Source organism: Homo sapiens, chromosome 6 (assembly GCF_000001405.40).
Source record: "Homo sapiens chromosome 6, GRCh38.p14 Primary Assembly".
Lineage (NCBI taxonomy): Eukaryota > Metazoa > Chordata > Mammalia > Primates > Hominidae > Homo > Homo sapiens.
This window is the reverse complement of record NC_000006.12, coordinates 581,982-603,153: the sequence shown is the minus strand read 5'-3', so window position 1 is coordinate 603,153 and position 21,172 is coordinate 581,982. Positions and strand designations below refer to the sequence as shown.

Below are 21,172 nucleotides of genomic sequence, written 5' to 3'. Positions count from 1 at the left end.
GCCTCTGACCTCTCCAATTCACAGCAAGTGGAGAGCAGATTAGAAATCACTTCCGTGATCTGTCTCAAGTGTCAGTACCAAGGAAAGGACCAAATGGTCACTTTGAAATAAGAGAAAGCATAATATTTACTTTAAATAAACATGGTTGAAATTATAAGACACCATCAGAATTACAGGACTAGGTTTTCTAGATGACTGGAGTTCCTGGCACATACAAAGATGTTTGTTCCGTTGTTAAGGATGTAAGATCACTGGGCAGGTATGAGTTCCACCGACTGGTGTGTAATGCTACCTGGACTTTCCTTCCCATCTTGCACTGTAGGGAAATTTTACTGCTCCACAGACCCGACTACACTGGTGGCAACCACGCTGTGTTTACATCATTGCTGTTAGTTCTTGCAGTTCCTGTGTGACCGAGACAGTGAGAGGCATTGTCCAAATTCACTGGTGCTGGAGACCATCTTTGGGTGAGGAGAAAGGACCAAGTTCCAGACCTTGGTTTGCCCAAGGCTGGCAAATAGAGATCAGGGTTTGTCCTACAGCCTATGAGGCCAAAGTCATGGCCATCCACTCCAGGTGGACTTGTTCTGTGGTTGGACACTGATGTTCAAACCCTTACCAGCTGCCTTAAAATTGGGTGTTCTTGGTGTGAGAATGTGTGTGGATTTGCACACGGGGTGTTCTTGGTGTGAGAATGTGTGTGGATTTGCACACGGGGTGTTCTTGGTGTGAGAATGTGTGTGGATTCGCACACGGGGTGTTCTTGGTGTGAGAATGTGTGTGGATTCGCACACGGGGTGTTCTTGGTGTGAGAATGTGTGTGGATTCGCACACGGGGTGTTCTTGGTGTGAGAATGTGTGTGGATTCGCAGACGGGGTGTTCTTGGTGTGAGAATGTGTGTGGATTCGCACACGGGGTGTTCTTGGTGTGAGAATGTGTGTGGATTCGCACACGGGGTGTTCTTGGTGTGAGAATGTGTGTGGATTCGCACACGGGGTGTTCTTGGTGTGAGAATGTGTGTGGATTCGCACACGGGGTGTTCTTGGTGTGAGAATGTGTGTGGATTCGCACACGGGGTGTTCTTGGTGTGAGAATGTGTGTGGATTCGCACACGGGGTGTTCTTGGTGTGAGAATGTGTGTGGATTCGCACACGGGGTGTTCTTGGTGTGAGAATGTGTGTGGATTCGCACACGGGGTGTTCTTGGTGTGAGAATGTGTGTGGATTCGCACACGGGGTGTTCTTGGTGTGAGAATGTGTGTGGATTCGCACACGGGGTGTTCTTGGTGTGAGAATGTGTGTGGATTCGCACACGGGGTGTTCTTGGTGTGAGAATGTGTGTGGATTCGCACACGGGGTGTTCTTGGTGTGAGAATGTGTGTGGATTCGCACACGGGGTGTTCTTGGTGTGAGAATGTGTGTGGATTCGCACACGGGGTGTTCTTGGTGTGAGAATGTGTGTGGATTCGCACACGGGGTGTTCTTGGTGTGAGAATGTGTGTGGATTCGCACACGGGGTGTTCTTGGTGTGAGAATGTGTGTGGATTCGCACACGGGGTGTTCTTGGTGTGAGAATGTGTGTGGATTCGCACACGGGGTGTTCTTGGTGTGAGAATGTGTGTGGATTCGCACACGGGGTGTTCTTGGTGTGAGAATGTGTGTGGATTCGCACACGGGGTGTTCTTGGTGTGAGAATGTGTGTGGATTCGCACACGGGGTGTTCTTGGTGTGAGAATGTGTGTGGATTCGCACACGGGGTGTTCTTGGTGTGAGAATGTGTGTGGATTCGCACACGGGGTGTTCTTGGTGTGAGAATGTGTGTGGATTCGCAGACGGGGTGTTCTTGGTGTGAGAATGTGTGTGGATTCGCACACGGGGTGTTCTTGGTGTGAGAATGTGTGTGGATTCGTACACGGGGTGTTCTTGGTGTGAGAATGTGTGTGGATTCGCACAAGGGGATTTTATGGGATGACCTTTGTTGATGCCTTCCTGGTGGCGTTATCTGTGACATCAGCCTCACATGTGAAGAGCACCCCTTTTCTTCAATAGTTTTGTTTTCTTATTAGTAGCCCTAAAGAAGAAAGACATAAAATGCATTTTGTGAGCTACTGGTGATTTTTATCTATTTGCACAAATCTTGGTTTCACTGCCCTCATGTATTTTATTACTGAATACATTATCTGATAATCAGAGTTAGGAACTTCAGTTTTATTGTGAATACAATTAAATTTACAGCAGAACAGTAATTTACAGACAGAAGTTATCTCTAAATTAAAAATTATAATCTCATAACTTATAATTTGTCAGTATTCACATAAAATTTTCAACATATAAGTACATGTATTTTGGCATAAATAAACATAATTTTATAGTTTATAATTTCTGCATATAAATTTTTCTCTGTCTCTATTTTATTTAATTATAAGTGAGTTTTCTTCCTGTACTTGTTTTCATACTTTTTAGAGAAGTTAAAATTATTAGTTGATAATATTTTACGACTTTAATAAGATGAGAAAAATCTAATTTTGAATTCATACTTTTTGCCCCAAATTTCATTATACTAAAAACTAATAAAAAATGTAAAACAACAGTGCTTGGTGATTTAACATCCAAACCTAACATATAAGTAATTAACCTTTTAAAAAGATTTAGTCTCCTTTACATATCTATTCATTTATGAGCCTCAATTCTTGAAATTTATATTTTTTAAGTGATAAATACTTTAAAATAGTTTTCTTTGATGACCAAAAGTTTTAACCCTAATCAGATTTCAAATACTAATTTAGCCTCCATTGTGTGGTTTGGTGGCAAGAAGGAAATATATTTTTTCTCATCTTATAATAGAAATGTAGAATTCTACTTAAATAGCATGTGGTGAAAACAGTTATCTTGACAAAACAAAGTTTTTATATGAGGCCTTTAAAATTTCAACAGAATTTAAACATTATTTAGATAAAACAATCATGTTACAAAGATGACTTTTAACAGGATCAGGCCACCCACAGTGTGCTCTAGAGAATATTGCATGCGAGCCACCCAGTGAGACTGAGGCAATTTTTTCATCTTTGCTTAAAGTATAGTCACTAGACCAGATAATGCAGAAACTTTTTACAAGCAGCGATCAAACAGGCAAAAACAGTTTATCTTTTTTCTCTCCTTTCGTTGTGGAATTAAAACTAATTCACAAGTTGCAAAATTTAAACTGTTTTTGTACACAGCAAATTTTGCTTTAAATAAAGCAACTCTTTCATTACAGTGATTCATATGGTTTGGGGTCTTTTAGGTGAAAAAAAAAAAAACTTAGGAAATGTGCAGCTCATGTATACTTTTATAAGATTAGCTGATTTAAGAAATATTCATGATGCTGCCTTCACATTTGTCATTTGTAAATTACTTATATAATTTTCTTTGCCTGCTACGTAGAGGTAATTCTGCCAAGGAATAGAATTTGTTTTAAATATTTCTATTGAGCAACTTTCCTGAAAATGATTTCCTTGTTTTGTTTATTGTCCCATATGTAGATATTGAGTCCGCAGAATTTAGCTAATGTACACGTGTATGCACATACATGCGTATGTGTGTGTTTTACCCTATTGTATGAAGTTCTGAAATAACCTAAGGGCCCATAATTGCTATACAGTTTAGAAGTGTAATGAAAATAAATGTAGGTTCACATTAGAGAATTTATTTGGGCATGGTAAATATGGTGCTTTTTATATTGGATACCATTCTTAACATATGAAAAGACTTAGGCAAAATGGAAATTTTATTTTAGCAAACCATAAAAGATCCCCTAAACTGAAAAACAGTCTGAGTTTTAACGTAAAACTACAATAGCAGTATTAACATTTTGTTTCTAGTGCCCAGTTACACATTTTCTGATTAAAATCAGCTTTCATCTAAGTTTCCTTTCCTCTTTTTAAAACAGGAGCAAGTAATACTGCAGACACATTGTTTCAAGAAGTATTAGGTCGGAAAGACAAGGCAGATTCCACTAGAAATGCACTCAATGTGCTTCAGCGATTTAAGTTTCTTTTCAACCTTCCTCTAAATATTGAAAGGAATATTCAAAAGGTAGAGTACATGTTTATTTATTTACATATGGTTGTAGATGTCATACATTTTTAAGATTTTTTAAGATGTTTTTTATATTAACCAAATGTCTTCATTTTGCATTACTGACAGTTTTCAAAATGTTTCTTTATTTTAAAGGGTGATTATGATGTGGTTATTAATGATTATGAAAAGGCCAAGTCACTTTTTGGGAAAACGGAGGTGCAAGTTTTCAAGAAATGTAAGATTCATGTATTACTTTTAGATCTTCTCCTTTCCTTTTATAGGAAGAATGTGGAATGTGTTCTGCAAAGAATGTTATATGAGTTTTTAGTTTTTGTTTATATGAGGCTCTCTTTACAATGTAAAGCAATTACTTCAGAAATAACAGTATGACTTTTCTTATTTGATACGCAGTGAAAATGAGCAACCACGACTCTAGGTTGTTCGCCTGAGACGTTCTCTGCCGTTTGTTAACCATCACGCTGTTAGAAAGTCTTAGTTTACTGGAAGGAATCAATGACAAGTATTTTCTAGAGATGGAAACCTACATTTTAATCTTCCCGTCTTCAGAGAGACCCATAGACTGAAGAATTCCAACCTCCTTTAAAGGAAGCTCAGCAACTTTTGAAGTTATGTCTAATGCCAGAGTTACAGTCCACCAGGAGAAATATCACAGGGCCTTATTAAATTTAAAAATGAAATCTGTAAGGACCCAGAAAACTAAATTTATTTTTTTATTGTGGTAAAATATACATGCAGTGAAATGTACAGACCTCACATGTTAGAGGTCAGTGAGTTTTGACAAATATGTACACCCTTGTAACCTACATCGGAGATAGTGTTCTGATCACTCTAGACACGGCCCTGGTGCCTCTTAGCCCTCACCCCACAAAAGCAACTACTATTCTGCTTTTTGAAATTTGATATTAAATTTTCATTCTGTAAATCTTGTGTATTCTTTTCTTTTTAAATAGATTATGCTGAAGTAGAAACAAGGATTGAAGCTTTAAGAGAATTACTTCTGGATAAATTGCTTGAGACACCATCAACTTTACATGACCAAAAACGTTACATAAGGTAAATCTTCTGCAAACATTTTGTTGAATCACATGTATCTGTTTGGTACTGTATGCATCTTGTAACCCTTAAGGCTAACTTGAGGGACTTTAGGAGATTGATGAAATGGTGAAGGGGAAGACAAATAGCAGAAATTTAGGGTTATCTGGCGTAGGACATCAAAATTCTTTTGAATACTAATAGATTTGGGAGTAGTTATGGAGTTACTCACTTTTTGAGAAAACTCTGCCATTTTCGGGAAAGGAAAAGTAGTCTCAACCTCTTCCTCCTGCTGAGCAAAGGGGTACCTTGCCTAGTGGGATGGTGTGGGTACCCATAATCTGTGAAGGAGGGGCTCCCTGCATGGCTTAAAGCAGAATACTGTCACACACTGGGTGGGAAATGCATTATGCCACAAGAATGTGCTGCTGCTTAACAGCACAGTAAGTTCTGGAAGGTTTTAACCTTGAATAGCTTTCTGATTTCCAAGCCTTTAGTGGTCAGTGAAAGAGAAATAAAGTCACTAAGTGAGCATACTTTTTAAAAAATTGCAGTAATATTGGGCCGGGCACCGTGGCTCATGCCTGTAATCCCAGCACAGCACTTTGGGAGGCTGAGGCGGGCGGATCACTAGGTCAGGAGTTTGAGACCAGCCTGACCAATGTGGTGAAACCCCATCTCTACTAAAAATACAAAAATCAGCCTGGCATGGTGATGTGCGCCTGTAATCCCAGCTACTCAGGAGGCTGAGGCAGGAGAATCGCTTGAACCCGGGAGGCAGAGGTTGCAGTGAACCGAGATCTCACACCACTGCACTCCAGCCTGGGCAACAGAGTGAGACTCTGTCTTAAAAAAAAAAATTTGCAGTGATATTAAGAGAGGTGAATTTCACAGGATATGAAGAGAAGGCCTTAGAGAGAAACAGTATCACATAATGGGAACTAGCTGTTAACTTTGGGCAACCGACTTGAGTTCTATTTTTCGGTTTCTTCATCTGAAATGGACATGGTAATCAAATCTGCATCTCAGGATAGTTGCAAAGATAATCAGAAATACATTTAAGGGTTTAATACCTCACCCGGCACATAAAAAGTAGTCAGTAAATTTTATGTACATGTAGTTTATGTCAGGGTTTGGAGATAAAGCATATAAATTTTAAGTTTTTTATATCTGTGATTAAAAATATTAACTTCATTTTCTGCTAGGATTTTTTGAGTATGGCCTTTGTTCTCAGAATAAATTATTTTCCAAATTTAATGGTTTTTCCACTTGAATTAGTGAAGTTTATTGACTATTCAGTGGTTGTAAAATGACAGACTATGTATTTATGAATTTAGCTGTGGTCCCCATGTGACCTTTGAAAATAATGTCTCAGGAACAGACACAGTGGCCCAGACCTGTGATCCCAGCACTTTGGGAGGCCAAGGCAGAAGGATTGTTTGAGTCTAAGAGTTCAAGACTAGCCTGGGCAATATAGCAAAACCTGGTCTCTGCAAAAAATCAAAAATTAGCCAGATGCGGGGATGCATGCCTGTAGACCCAGCCACTCAGGAGCCTGAGGCAGTAGGATCTCTTGAGCCCAGGAGTTCGAGACTGCACTGAGATGTGATCGTACCACTGCACTCGAGCCTGGGTGACAGCAAGATCCTGTCTCTGAAAAGAAAAGACTGTCTTGAAAAGAGCGTCTGGCCTGAAAGCTGCTGTGTGTGCAAGTGTGAACGGGGGAAAAGATCCGCACCTGGACCTGTGTCCTAGTGATGAGGCGTACGGCGGGAGTATGAGCCGTCGTCATTGGCAGCACACTAGTATTGCCCAGGAGGAAGCAAGCAGAGGCAGTGGCGGTGGGATGAAGAGAGGGTGCTGTGTTTGCATGCTGCCACCCCTGCACGTGTGCAGCATGCTCAGGCGCTGTGCGGGATGTGTTCTACATGTCCTCTCTAATCCTGATCACCACCATGAAAGGACGCTTGTGCGGTGCCCATTGTACAGGTGAAAACACGGAAGCTTGCCCAGCACACACAGTGACCCGGGGGACGGGACGCCTGTTTGGCTTCAGAGCCCACTCTTGTTTCTCTCTAAGCTGCCTCCATAAGAAAGAATGTATATAGGGGATTTTCCTGGTTTGTAGAATCCTAGAAATGTAAAGCTGGAAATAAACCACACATTTGTCATCCAACTGCTTTATTTTCTACCTAGAAAGCGACAGAGTTGCAGGGAGGTTGAGCGTAGTGTCCAGGACACGCAGCTGGGTAGCCTCAGACGTCCTGAGGCTGCTGTTTCCTGCCCTGCTCCTTCACTGCGTGTGCTTTGTATATTTCTGGCCTGTTTACACTTGTTATGTTAAACTTGCCTATAGTAGTGTGTTAAATCTTGTTGAGTGTACAAATTCTTTATGTTGTGGGTTACCATCTATATGGATAACTCATGTGCAGTTTTTATGAGTATATAACTTACTGGATATCGTTTAAAAGGTGGTAGTGCCAAAAAAGATTCTTTTAAGGAGCCTTTTAACTACGATTTTTCCTGTCATCTTAAAGGCAAAAGAGCAAAAATATAAACAAGTCAACAATAGTTTATGTATTTGTTAATGATTATTTTATTTACGATGCTTTGAGAAAATACTGAGCAATTGTTACCTTTTTAAATGAAATTTTTAGTCGCTAAGAAATAGAAAAATAAGATCAGAACCAGGTCAAATACCTGTTGGACTTTGAAATTTATGAGCATCAAGTAGGAATAGAGATAGCTTTATCATGAACAAAAATGTATTAGTTTTCTTACATAATCCAGATTATGCATAGTAGAGGGGAAAATCAGATTACCACTATATTGTCTTACTGTTCACAATTTTTTCTAATATCATTCACTATTTTATCTAATTTAAACCTTCCCTATTCTTCTCCCTCTCCTTATTTCTATCTTGATGTTGGCAGGAAGCAAAGCTCTGCATATTCCTTTCCACAGCAGTGTGATCTTATCCCTGGTAGCTGTGAGAAGATCATGTCAGAATATGACTAAAAACTTCCTTTATTCTTAAATTTTAAAATACTGAGCCTGTGTTAATCATAATTAACATTCTTTACATTGCTTTTGAATCTAAAAAGCCTTTTTAAAGTGTTCTTAATATGCAGTTTTAAAAGAAATGGCGATAACATGTATCATTCTAAACAGAGTTTTGAAATGTAACTACTTATTTTTAGCTGCATACTGAAAGGAAACAAGAAACTTATTTGAAGAGCCCAGCACAAGTTGTCATGCTTTTGAACTGAGTCTAGAATTTCTAAAAGAACAACTTTATCTTGCTTTGTAAAACTTTTATAAACTCCTTTACTTTAATACCCGTTAATAAGATGATAGAAAAAGTCTTTTGTTATTAGGTTTTGCAAGGACACAGTCAACATTTTAAAGAGACGTATAATGTAAAAAGCCACTAAGCAAAGCTTATTGATTCCTCTTGCTGTACTCCTGGAGAAAGAACCCTTGTACGGAACTGTCTACACTCCTATTCAGTAATTTAAACATTAAAAGGAACACCGTCCCTAAAAGAGTATCTCTTTATTTTACTACTAACACCAAATCTGAGGGCTACGTGAGTGAAAGTGTTAGGAGAAAGCGTTGCAGAGGTGTTGGGAGGCAAAACAAGCCTATTTAGGGAGAACGCTGAAATGCATCATCCCCAGCAAGAAAGCATAGAATCACGTTCTTTGGGAAGAAAGACACAGTGTACTATTTGTTATATTTATCGTTCAGGTAATAAAAGAAGAAAGCCTTGTGTGAGAGAAAGAATCAGACTGCATTTTGGAATCTGAAATGAATCCCCTGTGCCAAGCTAAATGTAACTTGTTAGATTGTAGTTTTCTTCTCAGGATACTATTCTCATTTATGAGGAGGAGTGCTGGTGACTTCTTAATCTGAGTAAAGCTCTTCCTTCTAATTGACCTGCCACTTTCTCAGCACAGAGACACATCCTGTTTGCAACCTGTAGGTGGTCACAAGGGGGAGGAGATGGCAGCTCTCAGCCACCTCTGGGCAGCCTGAGTGTGGCCCGTCTGCAGATGCCTGGATATCCGGCTCCCCACAGCACCCAGTCCCTCCCCATCAGCTGGGAATGTCAGTGTTCTCAGCATTTTATTTGTTGCTAACATATTACAAAGTGGATTTGTTTCTCCTCTGATTGGCTGCTGATTGAGATACCTGAGTAACACACACTCACTACTGGAAGAATGGGCTGGAAGCATGGGTGCACCCCTGAGGGATTGAGGTCTGGCCCAAGGTCAGCCTGGAGCCATTGATGATGATTTACCACTGAACAAAAACCTCTAACCCAGAGACAAAGAATGGCATATGGCTTAACAACAGTTTTAAGACAATAAATTCATTTGGACATGCTTTTGGAGTTGATTTAATTGGATTTAGCTTGCTATATTTATATATTTTGTGAGGGCTGAGGGCCAAATCTTAAATAATATTTGACAGAAATTTTTCTATGGAAGTAAATGGTCTCTATGGATTTGGGTGTTTTATAGACAAAGACTTGATATATTTTAAGAATATTTAGAAACTAAGAAAAACACCGAACTATACTATATTTCCTAGAGAAATATTTTCTCAGTCGTGAGTGTGGACTTTAGAGGTGAGTGTTGTCACCAAATCTCTTCACAGTTCGGTTAGCCCTCATTTAGCTAGTTTTAGAAAGCGGTGCCATACTGCCATCTCGTGGCCATATTTCATATCAGAAAGGAATTAAAAAACATCTGAAATTTTAAAAGTATTTGCCCAGTATCTGCTGGCTCCCACCTGTGTCTAATATAATGACTCTGAACTAAGTAGAAAAACTCCTGTGAACTAAATATAAATATAAAGAAAAATGCTCATCAGGTAGATAGGATCACTGCAAATTGTCCTTATCTTTTTACAAAGAGCTGTTTTTAATAGTTTTATCATTTATATGAAAAAATTTTAAAGCTCTGCTGTTTATTTTTTTATTTTTTGTTTGCTTGTTTGTTTGTTTGGAGATGGCGTCTCACTCTGTCGCCCAGGCTGCAGTACAGTGGTGAGATCTCAGCTCATTGCAACCTCTGCCTCTCGGGTTCAAGCGATTCTCCTGCCTCAGCCGCCCGAGTAGCTGAGATTACAGGCTTGCACCAACACACTTGGCTAATTTTTGTATTTTTTTTTAGTAGCGACGGGGTTTCAGCACGTTGGCCAGGCTGGTCTTGAACTGCTGACCTCAGGTGATCCATCCACCTCAGCCTCCCAAAGTGCTGGGATTACAGGCAGGAGCCATCTCACCTAGCCAAGAAATTTGAATATATTTCATTGAGAATTAAATATTAAAGACTAATATTTGACAGGGCACAAGACTAATTGATAAAATTTTAGCCTTTAAAAAGTAATGATTTTAAAATATGCCAGCATTTCCCTTTGGCCTCAACCTTGGACTTGCTTTTTCAGGTACCTGTCTGACCTTCATGCGTCTGGTGACCCTGCTTGGCAATGCATTGGAGCCCAACACAAGTGGATCCTTCAGCTCATGCACAGTTGCAAAGAGGGCTACGTGAAAGATCTGAAAGGCAAGGATTTCTCTTCCAATGTGTTGTGTGATTCCTTCATGTCATTTTGATGCATTCTGGGAATGTTTAATGATGAAGGCACTGACTACCTAATTTACTTGGTATCTCTTATTATTGTCTTTTGCTTGTTTTGTGGTTTTTTTGGCCACTGGTTAGCATTGTACTAATGAAAAGGGACAACTCTTTTATCATGTCTGTTTTTGCGATTGGTGGACAGCGTTGACGTTTCGGGGCAGGCAGCGTGATGCCGAGGAGGTGACATTGGTCTTTGGTAACTATCAGTCTGCACATCGTCTCGTCAGGTGTATGTTGAGTCCTGCTCTGTGCCAGGCACTGCACCCATCGCTAGTAAGACATAGCTGCTGCCTCCCAGAGTTACCGCTAGAGGAAGGAAAAGCCACTAAACATGTAACTAACCAAATAAAATGCTGGGACATGTGATGAAAGAAAAAAAGAAAATCAAGATGTTCCAAAAGGGAGTAACTGAGGAGAATGCTTTAGATGGCTGGTGTGGGAATGTCTCAGAGAAGCCTCCGTATTAGAACTGGAAGGATAAAAGGTAGCTTACTAGCCATCTCAGCTTGAGAAAGGGACCACCTGTGTGGAGGCCCTGAGGGAAGCTGGGGGAGAGAAGTCAAAGGTCTATTTGTGTGCAGGTGTATTGGCTTTTGTTTGTATACTATCATTTGGAGAATATTGAGTATATTGAATGCCTGCTATGCTGCAGACACTGTTGGGTGCCAAAGTCACAGTAGTCAGGACAACAGACAAGGGCCTAGCTCATGCAAGCTCACAAAATAGTAGGGTAGACAGATAACCAGCCAGCTGTTAGAATATTGTGTGCTGTTTCATATGACTGGGGAAGTTCTGAGTGACATTGGAGTGCTTAGGAGTAGCCTCTGATCCAGGGTTTTGAGGTCAGGGGAGTGACATTCTGAGAGCTGAAGGGAGTGACATCTCTTTTGAGATCAGAAGGGTATCTGTACTTGACAGTTGAAATAGAGAAGGAAAGCATTTAAGACTTCCAGGAAGGGAGAATGTGCACAGGTTACAAGCACAAGAAGGCCTCTGAATCCTGTGTGGTTGGAGCTTAGATCGTGGAGGTGGAGTGAAGAGACGAACTTTCTTGGCTGCTGTGACAGGTTTGGACTTCACCCAGAGTGCGATGGGGAGTCGCTGACGGATTTTAAGCTGGGGTCAATGGATTGGGGGAAGACAAGCTCAGACTTACTTTTGAAAAGATGACGACTCTGGCCGCCCATAGTGGGTGGATGAGAGGGAGCAAGCCCAGAGCAGTGAAGCTGGTGAGGAGACAGGCACCCCACCTGATGTGGAGGTGGTGGGAATGTGAAGAAGAGCATGGACTCCAGGGCCGTTCAGGAATAGAACTGATAGGGCTGGATGATGGACAAATGAAGAGGAGGAAGGGATGAGCAGTGATTTCCAGATGGCTGACTGGCAGCTAGTTAGGGTGATGGTGCCACTGAGTTAGGGAACATAGGGGAGAAAAGTGATTCCGCCTCTTTGTTTGGACAGCTTGACTTGGGGTTGTCTGACATGTAAGTAGAGATGGAAGTAGTTGGATCTAGAGACTGAGAAATTTGAGCTTGGTGGGCATACAGGTGGTCCCTTGGAACTCGTGCATTTACCCAAGAAGACGAAAAAAGAAGCAAACTCAGGAAAGAGTCCTGACAAGTGATGTTTTAGGGGCTGGTAGAAGAAGAGAAGCCTTCAAAGGAAACGAAGAAGGGGTGGTCATGGCGGGAGGAAAACAGAAGGGAGTGGTCAGCAAAATCTCCAAGATGAAGCAGAAGATGAAAGAGAAATGTCCTTAGGATTGCTCTTACGCTGTTGGTGGTGACTCTGGCAAATGCAGGGCCTGAGACCTGAGCCCCTAACTGGATGACATGAAAAGGAGTAATGGCCCTCATCAGGTCCCTGGGAGGATCAGGAGCTGTAACAGGAGAGCAGTCTTGGTAGAGAAGGAAGTACAATGGAGAGGTCGCCGTTGTTTCTTTCTAGCATAGTTTTGTCATGAATTAGTTGGCTTGGATTTGAGTACTTTCCAGCTCTGATGCCATTTTTTTCTATGCTTGGTATTTAAGAAAACCCAGGTATCTCTGCTGAAGCCATGTCAACATCCCCATTAATGTCATTAATTATTTTATATTTTTAGCAAGTGAAAATGACAGCAAATGTTACACACAGTCTGCAGTCTTTGGGAATATTTAGAAAGCCTTACATATTTATTTCTCTGTTGATTCAACCAATAATTTTTGAGTCTACTCTGTTCGGCAGAGCTCTCAACCTTAAGGGCCCATCAGAGTCCACTGGGGATTTTTTTTTTTTTTTTCCAGACAGAGTCTCGCTTTGTCGCCCAGGCTGGAGTGCAGTGGCTCGATCTCAGCTCACTGCAAGCTCCGCCTCCCAGGTTCACACCATTCTCCTGCCTCAGCCTCCCAAGTAGCTGGGACTACAGGCGCCCGCTACCACGCCTAGCTAATTTTTTTGTATTTTTAGTAGAGACGGGGTTTCACCCCATCACGGTGTTAGCCAGGATGGTCTCGATCTCCTGACCTCGTGATCCACCCGCCTCGGCCTCCCAAAGTGCTGGGATTACAGGCGTGAGCTACCACGCGTCCACTGGGGCTTTTTAACAACCAGTTATCAATTCTTGGCCTTACCCCTTCCCTCCGTGCCAAGCACATTCTAATCTCTGTGGCTGGAGTCCAGGCAATTTCAAGCTCCCGGGCGATTCATGTGCAGCCAGGGCTGGTCACCAGGGTGCTGGCTGCTGTGCCAGGAGCCGGAAGTGCAGTGCGAGCTGGCCTCTTGGAGCTTGTGGTCTAGGGAGAAACACACCATCTAAAAAATCACATAGGCATGTATTCAGTTGGAATAGTGAAAAGTGTGAGGTAGTGGGGAGTACAAAATTGTATGAAAATGTATGATAGGAAGGGTGCAGTCCGGTTGAGGGGAAGTCCAGGGAAGTTTTCTAGAGGAGGTGAAATCTCAGTTGAACCTAAACAACGACAGTCAGTTCTCCGGATCGGCATTGAGACGCGTTCCAGACACCGTGCGGGTGCTGGACAGTCAGTTCTCTAGATCAGCATTGAGAAGCGTTCCAGACACCGTGCAGGTGCTCGACAGTCAGTTCTCTGGATCGGCATTGAGACGCGTTCCAGACACCGTGCGGGTGCTCGACGGTCAGTTCTCTAGATCGGCATTGAGAAGCGTTCCAGACACCGTGCGGGTGCTCGACAAATGTCACTGCTCTCCAGCAAAGGTGGTGATGAATGCAGTCACCATATTCACTGGATACAGATAGGATATGTGGTCTGACCAAGGATTTTCCTACTTATACTTTCAGGAAACAAACTGAATACCTAATTTGGTATGAAAATATTTGAATTTCTGGAATATGTGTGTAATTTATGAAGACAACATATGGACTTTTTGAAACTGGAAAAATTCCAGAAAATTTCATCTATCTCGTCATATCTTTACCTCAAATATCTGATAACCAGTATTCCATCACCAAAGGTCTGAATCTTTCTCAAAGATAGAGGGAAACACACCGTCATCTTTCCTTCCCTGACATCTTAATTTATTGCTATATATATTCATTCTAAATTGCTTAAAATCAGTGTTTTGGAAAAAAAAAAGGTGACAGAAGCTTTCTTGTAACTCACTTACTCTGAGCAAGCTTGTTGCGCACCTTGTTCATCACTTGGGAAATAATCGAAAGAATGTGCGTGGAATGGGAGCAGTGCCTCAGGTTACTTTCATTACTTCATCTTTTCATTAGAAAGTGAAGGGCCGGTGCGGTGGCCCACGCCTGTAATCCCAACACTTTGGGAGGCCGAGGCGGGCGGATCACAAGGTCAGGAGTTCAACACCAGCCTGGCCAACATAGTGAAACCCTGTCTCTACTAAAAATACAAAAATTAGCCAGGTATGGTGGTATAGCCAGGTATAGGCCCAGCTACTCAGGAGGCTGAGGCAGGAGAATCACTTGAACCCAGGAGGCAGAGGTTATGGTAAGCCGAGATCGTACCACTGCACTCCAGCCTGGGCAACAGAGTGAGACTCACTCCATCTCAAAAAATAAAAAAGTGGAAACAATTCCTTACAACTCTTTGAACTTTACAGTTTTAATGACAATACAATATAAATGTCTTAAATTCACATTTTATTTTTTCTTTTGACATTCAGAACATGCTTAACTGTTCCCTCTGTCATTGTCAGTAAACACTGCTAATCTAAATGTAGGTAATTCTAGCACATGAGAGGCTTTTAACTGGAAAATTGGGGTGGTTTTTTGAACTTAGGTCAGAAGCGATTTTCACTATTAAATTTTGGAAAATCCCACTTATATTTAAAAGCAGAAAGGATAATGTAACAATACCCCATGTACTCACGCTGACTTCAGCAGTTACCAACTCATAGCCAATCTCATTTTATCAGCTCATAGCCAGTCTTACCTGCTTCTCTCCCCTCCCTCACCCTGGATTATTCTAAAACAGATCACATCATTTTATCCATAATTAATTCAGTATGTAATTCTTAGAAATAAGGATTCTTTTTAAAAACTGTAGCCAAAATACCATGACCATTACCTAAAATATGAATATTTTTTAAATATGAAATACTCCAGTTTCAAATTCAGAAAGTTTAATTTCTTCAGTATCTTTCTGAGTGCATCGATAGCATTGCCCTTGAGCTGATACTCAGTGCACAGGCAAATGGTAAATGAAATGCGGCACAGACGCGGACAGAACGTTTCCTCGGATGGAAGGAGGATTCGCCATTAGTGAAATAGAGTGTGCTTTGGCCAGTTTGCATGTCGGTGTTTTTCTGTATGTGATCATTTCTATATGTGTATGTCATTGCACACATGTTAACTTTAATATACACATATCTATGGCCGGGCGCGGTGGCTCACGCCTGTAATCCCAGCACTTTGGGAGGCTGAGGCTGGCGGACCATGAGGTCAGGAGATCGAGACCATCCTGGCTAACACAGTGAAACCCCGTCTCTACTAAAAATACAAAAAATTAGCCGGACATGGTGGCATTTGCCTGTAGTCCCAGCTACTTGGGAGGCTGGGGCAGGAGAATGGCAGGAACCTGGGAGGCGGAGCTTGCACTGAGCCCAGATTGTGCCACTGCACTCCAGCCTGGGCGACAGAGCAAGACTCCGTCTCAAAAAAAAAAAAAATACACATATCTACATTTACATCTACAGGTAATGTCATATCTATGTTTGTGTATGTGTGCGTGTGTTTATATAAAATATTTGCCTTAATTATAAGTTTGCTGGGAATACACACAAATTTTCTTTTGTGTGATCTACAACTGTTGTTGACTAGGGACCCTTGGTGGATGTTTTATTATTGTCCTAATTATATATAATATAAATGTAAGGTAATATGGGGGAATGCCTACTAAATATTGTTTGGAATTTCCTTTGAGCATCCTCTCATAATTGTGACATTTTAGATGTGGAAGAAATCTGGGAAACTGTCTAGTTTTGTGGATGCCTTTAGCTCTATTTCGCATGTGACAAAGGTGTCTCAGAGAAGCCACAGGACAGACCCACGTCCTCCGTATCCTGAGTAGGGGTGGGACTAGTGGGTGTCCAGACACGTCCTCCGTATCCTGAGCAGGGGTGGGACTAGTGGGTGTCCAGGTCACTCCCCCTCTCACCTGATCACACTCCCTCCAGACCAGTGAGTTATGGAATAGGTTACTGAACACCTCCCTCTGAGTTACATTGTTGGAGCAAATATTGCATCAAACAGGATTTCTCAATGTGATGTCAGAGCAGGTGAGCGTTCCCCTGGTAAGGGAAGGCTGGCTGGTATTTGGGGATTCATGAAGAGCTGCACCTGAAACTAGCCAAGCTCGATGAAGTGCTTCTGGTCTTTATTACTTTTATGCTATTTTGCTATACATAGGTGAATTCTATTAAGGAAATTTTACACAGACCTCATCACTCACTTCTAAAATTATATGTGCAATGTAAATAAATGCTCTGAGAATGAGCAAGTTAAGAAAATGGAGGTGAGTGAGAGAGCATCCAGTCCCTTAGGAGGGATCCTGGGAAATGTAAGGCTGTCCCTGGGAAGGCCCGCAGTGCCCCCATCAGAGCCAAAGGAACTCATGGCACATACATTGGATGTAAAGCTTCAGAGCCGGCAGCCTGCAGCGGATGCCACCTCTCTCTTGACTCGAGTGTGTCTGGTTATTTTCTGATGCCCGGGGCTCGGTGACAGAGTACTTACTTGTTTGCTTGGCACCTGCTGTTTCCTTGAATTGATTATAGCTGTCTACTGAAGGCTAGAGCATTTGAAAACACAATTACTACCGTAAGAAATTGCTTACAAATGATCTGCGGTAAAAGGACTGCCTACATTTTATCTGGTACTTTGTTATAAAGCTACATTGTTTTTATGCGGGTTTTCTCAGGAGCCTGCTTTTAAAATGAAAGCTTACTACATTCCAATATAAAGAAAACAAGTTTTAAGTAGTTCCTTTATTATAATATCTGTACTTAGACTACTAACACTGTAAAGTTGTTTAGGTAAATCCACTAGCAGAACAATGGATAAGAAGAAGAATAGCTTTGTGAAATGAAATGCAATTTTAAATGGATAGACTATAAATATTTCAAACGGAAAAATAATTCTTGATGTCTGTTTAAAGTAAATGTGGTCTTTGTGCATGAATCTAAGAAATCTAACATATAAATATTTTTTTAAGTCTGCTTTTTTAAAGCAAAGACTTTTGCTTTTCACTTTGGTGGTTTGGGAAAAAAATGTTAATTGTATGTAGCCCTGTGGTATTCAGAGAAAATGTTATGAGCAAAGATGGTGACAGATTTTCAGAGACAGCAGTCCTACATACAAAGCTACCTTTTTCCGAGAAAGCTCCTTTTGTAGATGAAGCATTTGGCAGCAGAGTTTGCCGTACAGTTGATAATTCTATGAGTCCTGCATTAGATCCTTGTCTGGACTCGTTTTTGTAGTAATAATATACACTGGTGCTAGCAGATGGTGCCCTTCGGAGTATAACACGAGGCCAGGACAGGAGCTCACCCTTGCACCTCACACACCTGGTCCTTTACCCCCAAACGCTCCACATGCCTCTTGCATCCTCTAACTCTGTAGCCCAAATGTGATCATTTAGGTTTTTCTAAGGGTGGAAAAAGATGGGAAAAACAAGAGCAAAACTAAGGTTAATATTTTAAAAACTCATCTTGAAACCTTCTAAATACTGATGGAAGAGTTTATGGTGTTTGTCCAGCCTGAACAGGTTAACCATTTTGCTTCTCTTCCCCTATGTTCAAAGCAGCCTTGTGTTCTGAATTGTTATACATGTTAAACTTTTACTACCTTATTAAGAAGTGTCACCCGTCTCTTAAAATTCCTGTGAAATAGGTCCAAAATTAGACTGCGTCTTCAGAGGTTTCCTGCCAGGAAAAGCCTTTGGTTAACCCCCTACTGACATTCACAAACAGGATTTTTAAAGGTGGTCTTCAAAGGTGTTTTTTTCTTTGTTCTGAATGTGAGTTAAAATATATGCTGGCTATGTCTGATAACTTAAGGGAGAAGGCATCAGGCTACTCATAGAGAAAGTGTTACCTTCTTTCAGAGATGCACTTAATTAGAACTTCTAAAAGGACATCATTAGAATTAGGGTTCAGTAGGCAACATTTAGAACATGGCCACACTGTTAAGTAAGCAGTAAGTTCTCGAGAATAGCCGCAGAGCAGAAGAAAAGACATTTATACCTGGCTCAGGTTCTCTTTGAAAACTTAGAGATGGTATGTTCCATCTGAGTGGTTTATTTCGAGTCTTCACAGTGGTGGAGCTATTATAGAAAGAAAACTGAATAACAGGCTGTGCTAAACATCTACCCTTTTAATAATTTCTGACACTCACTAGAGTATTAATTACTTGCTGAAAGAAATAAAAACATTTATGTTACTCCAAGAACCTTAAGATACACAAAGTCCATATTTTCAGTACAAGCTCATAACATACATGCATAAATCATAGTATTACAATTTATGATTTTGAATTTACATAGTATAAACTGTTATATCTTGCTATTTTAAAAAATACAGCTAGGACCTTTACGTACATATTTTATATCATTTTTACAAATATTATTGGGGTTAATATTACATATAATTCTGGTATTACCATAATGCAGGGTCAGGTAGACTTCCTGTATGCGAGATTAAATTACAGCCCCCATTAGGAAACCATTAGCAGATTCATTGAATTTTCTGTGGAACCACGCAAATAATTTCATAGTTAAAAAGTCAGTGTAAGTGTATTGTTGTATATGTGCTAAATCTTTTAATAAAATTATCATTTTAATTTTAAAGTTATCATAATAAGGTTGCACATTAGGAAGCTTCTTTTTTTATGGAGTTAATTTTCTAGAGATTTAAAAAATTGTTTCTCTCCTGAATATTGATCACAGCCTGAACCCAGGTTGAGAGAGGTTGGTTTAAAAAAAGGAAAGGCACAACTGCAGCGAGCACAGATATGAGATGCTAGTTTCTTTCCATCTTGCCCTCCCTGCAGCTCAGCACTGGGGTGGTGCCTTTGTGACCTGTGTACGGCTGCCAGTGGGCGGACCTCCAGGGAAGGCTTCTGCTGTGCACTTGTTCGTTTGCATGCTGTGATGACAGAGTTTTTCAAAATTGTCTTTGGAAGATGAAATGCTTAGTGGGGTTTTATTTACCTGCTTTAAGATGTATAAGCTGCGCTATGTATGCAGCGTATGTGCACACAGTGAGAAAGTAGATTCAGGAGAGGGAAGTGGAAGAAGTCAGTAACCTGGGACTTGAGAATTTGATTTCTTTTGGAATAGCATAGCACTCATTTGTAGATCCCCATGTAGTAAAGTAACAGCTGTTGAATATCACAAGAAAAAGTTGGATTAAGGTCTCTTTTTTTTGTGTCTCCTGTTTTGTAATAGATTCTATTCACCTTACAATGAATAATCTTTTTTAGATCACACAGGCCAAAAAGGCTATGTGAAAAGGACCTTGTCAATTTGTGATTGTAGCAGCTGGTTCTTTTCCACTGCCCTGGCTTACTGTGCATCTGGAAGAAGACTTCTGGCAGCCGGAAGTCATTTCATGTCTAAACTTGTCCCCATCCTTCATAGAAAAAAAATTTTGATGATGAATGTCAAACACACATTGAATGCTAACTTTACTTGGTAATTAAAAATACTGATAATTGTAAGTACTTTTGTTCTGTATTCTGTTATTTTTGTAATTCCTTTATATGTTCTAAGCATTTTTCTGCATGTAAATCTATATGAAACTGCTAAAAGACATAGGACTTTGACAAAAACATACATTTCATTTTGGTCATTCACTTCTCCAGCTTACTTATTACAAATATATGATTCTCACATAACTGGCCAATGGTAGCTAATAAATGCTTCTTCAAAGTTTATACCTGTAGTTTTGCTTTTAATTTACATTTCCTTTGGTGAACTCTTGCTTTGAATGATACTGAAATGCACGTCCGAAATGCTGCCTGGAGCTTGTGAAGGACAGTCCTGAGTGAGTGAGTTAACAGGGGCTTCTTAACTGTGCCTCCCTTTGTTTAATTTGGATTAAGTGATTCTCTTTAAATTAAGGAAATGCCCCTGTCAGGACTTTAAAAATGTTATATATATATACATATATATGTATATGTATACATGTATAATCAGAAGATCAAAAAGCATTTTTATCTGTTGACACAGGTCTAATTCCTGAGGAATTTGTAACTCTGCCTTGATACGCCCACCGCACCCCCACCCCCACCCCCAGCTTTGGCATTGAAATTCTTGTGTGTGGTGCGCTTGAAAGGAATCCCATCCTGCCTGCGTCTGCGGAGGCTCCCGGCCCGTGTTTGGTCAGCAAGCAACAGTGGGTGGTCGGGCTGCTGTGCAGGACAACGGCCCGCTGTGCGCAGGAAAATGTGTTCAAAGGTGTTTAAGGGCCATGAGGAAGTCGGCCACCCTTCTGAGAGTCTGAGGCTGCAGATCAGTGTTCCCTACACTATTGTAGACTGTGAGAAAACTTGCTGTAGTAGGCATGAAGGATGAGAAAATACAGTAACCTTACTCACCTGGCTCCGTGTCTGCAGGCTTCCCTTAAGAAGGGTCTCTTCTGCCCTTTTTGTGGTATAGAGTCTGTTAAAAAAAAAAATACCGACTATTGAAAATCAGAAAGACTTGCACAGCTTTGAGTGGAAAGGATTTGACTGATATGGTTTCCTGGAAGTCCTACAGAATTCTAGGTATAATAAGCATTTTCTATAGAGTCTCGATTGTCAAAGATTGTTTACTTTCTTTTAGAAAAATGATAAATTTTAAATTTTTGATTATTTCTACACTTCTAGTGAAGTGACTAGGATTGTTTCATTAGTTTTCTGAAGAAAATTATTTCTGCAACTCCTGAAAACAAAT

At 40.7% G+C, this 21,172-nt stretch overlaps 1 protein-coding gene across 18 annotated transcripts in view, besides 1 other annotated feature; it reads left to right on the top strand.

The window, feature by feature from the left end:
- The window catches only part of EXOC2 (exocyst complex component 2), a 207,986-nt gene that overhangs the window by 89,986 nt on the left and 96,828 nt on the right, over positions 1-21,172 (top strand). For all 18 annotated transcript variants that reach the window (NR_073064.2, XM_017011022.2, XM_017011023.2 and 15 more), the window contains 4 exons: positions 3,929-4,074; positions 4,213-4,294; positions 5,031-5,133; positions 10,567-10,685. Coding sequence is in view for 17 of the 18 variants with exons in the window: in XM_017011022.2 (XP_016866511.1) it covers positions 3,929-4,074; positions 4,213-4,294; positions 5,031-5,133; positions 10,567-10,685 (450 nt within the window). In the remaining variant the exon portion in view is untranslated. The remainder of the gene's footprint in view (positions 1-3,928; positions 4,075-4,212; positions 4,295-5,030; positions 5,134-10,566; positions 10,686-21,172) is intronic.
- Positions 19,284-20,483: an enhancer, noted in NCBI's record as "MED14-independent group 3 enhancer chr6:582671-583870 (GRCh37/hg19 assembly coordinates)". NCBI's record gives its function as "activates an origin of replication core promoter dependent on BRD2, BRD4, P300/CBP and CDK7 cofactors, and independent of MED14, by STARR-seq in HCT116 cells {active_cell/tissue: HCT116}" and the evidence as "EXISTENCE:reporter gene assay evidence [ECO:0000049][PMID:35650434]".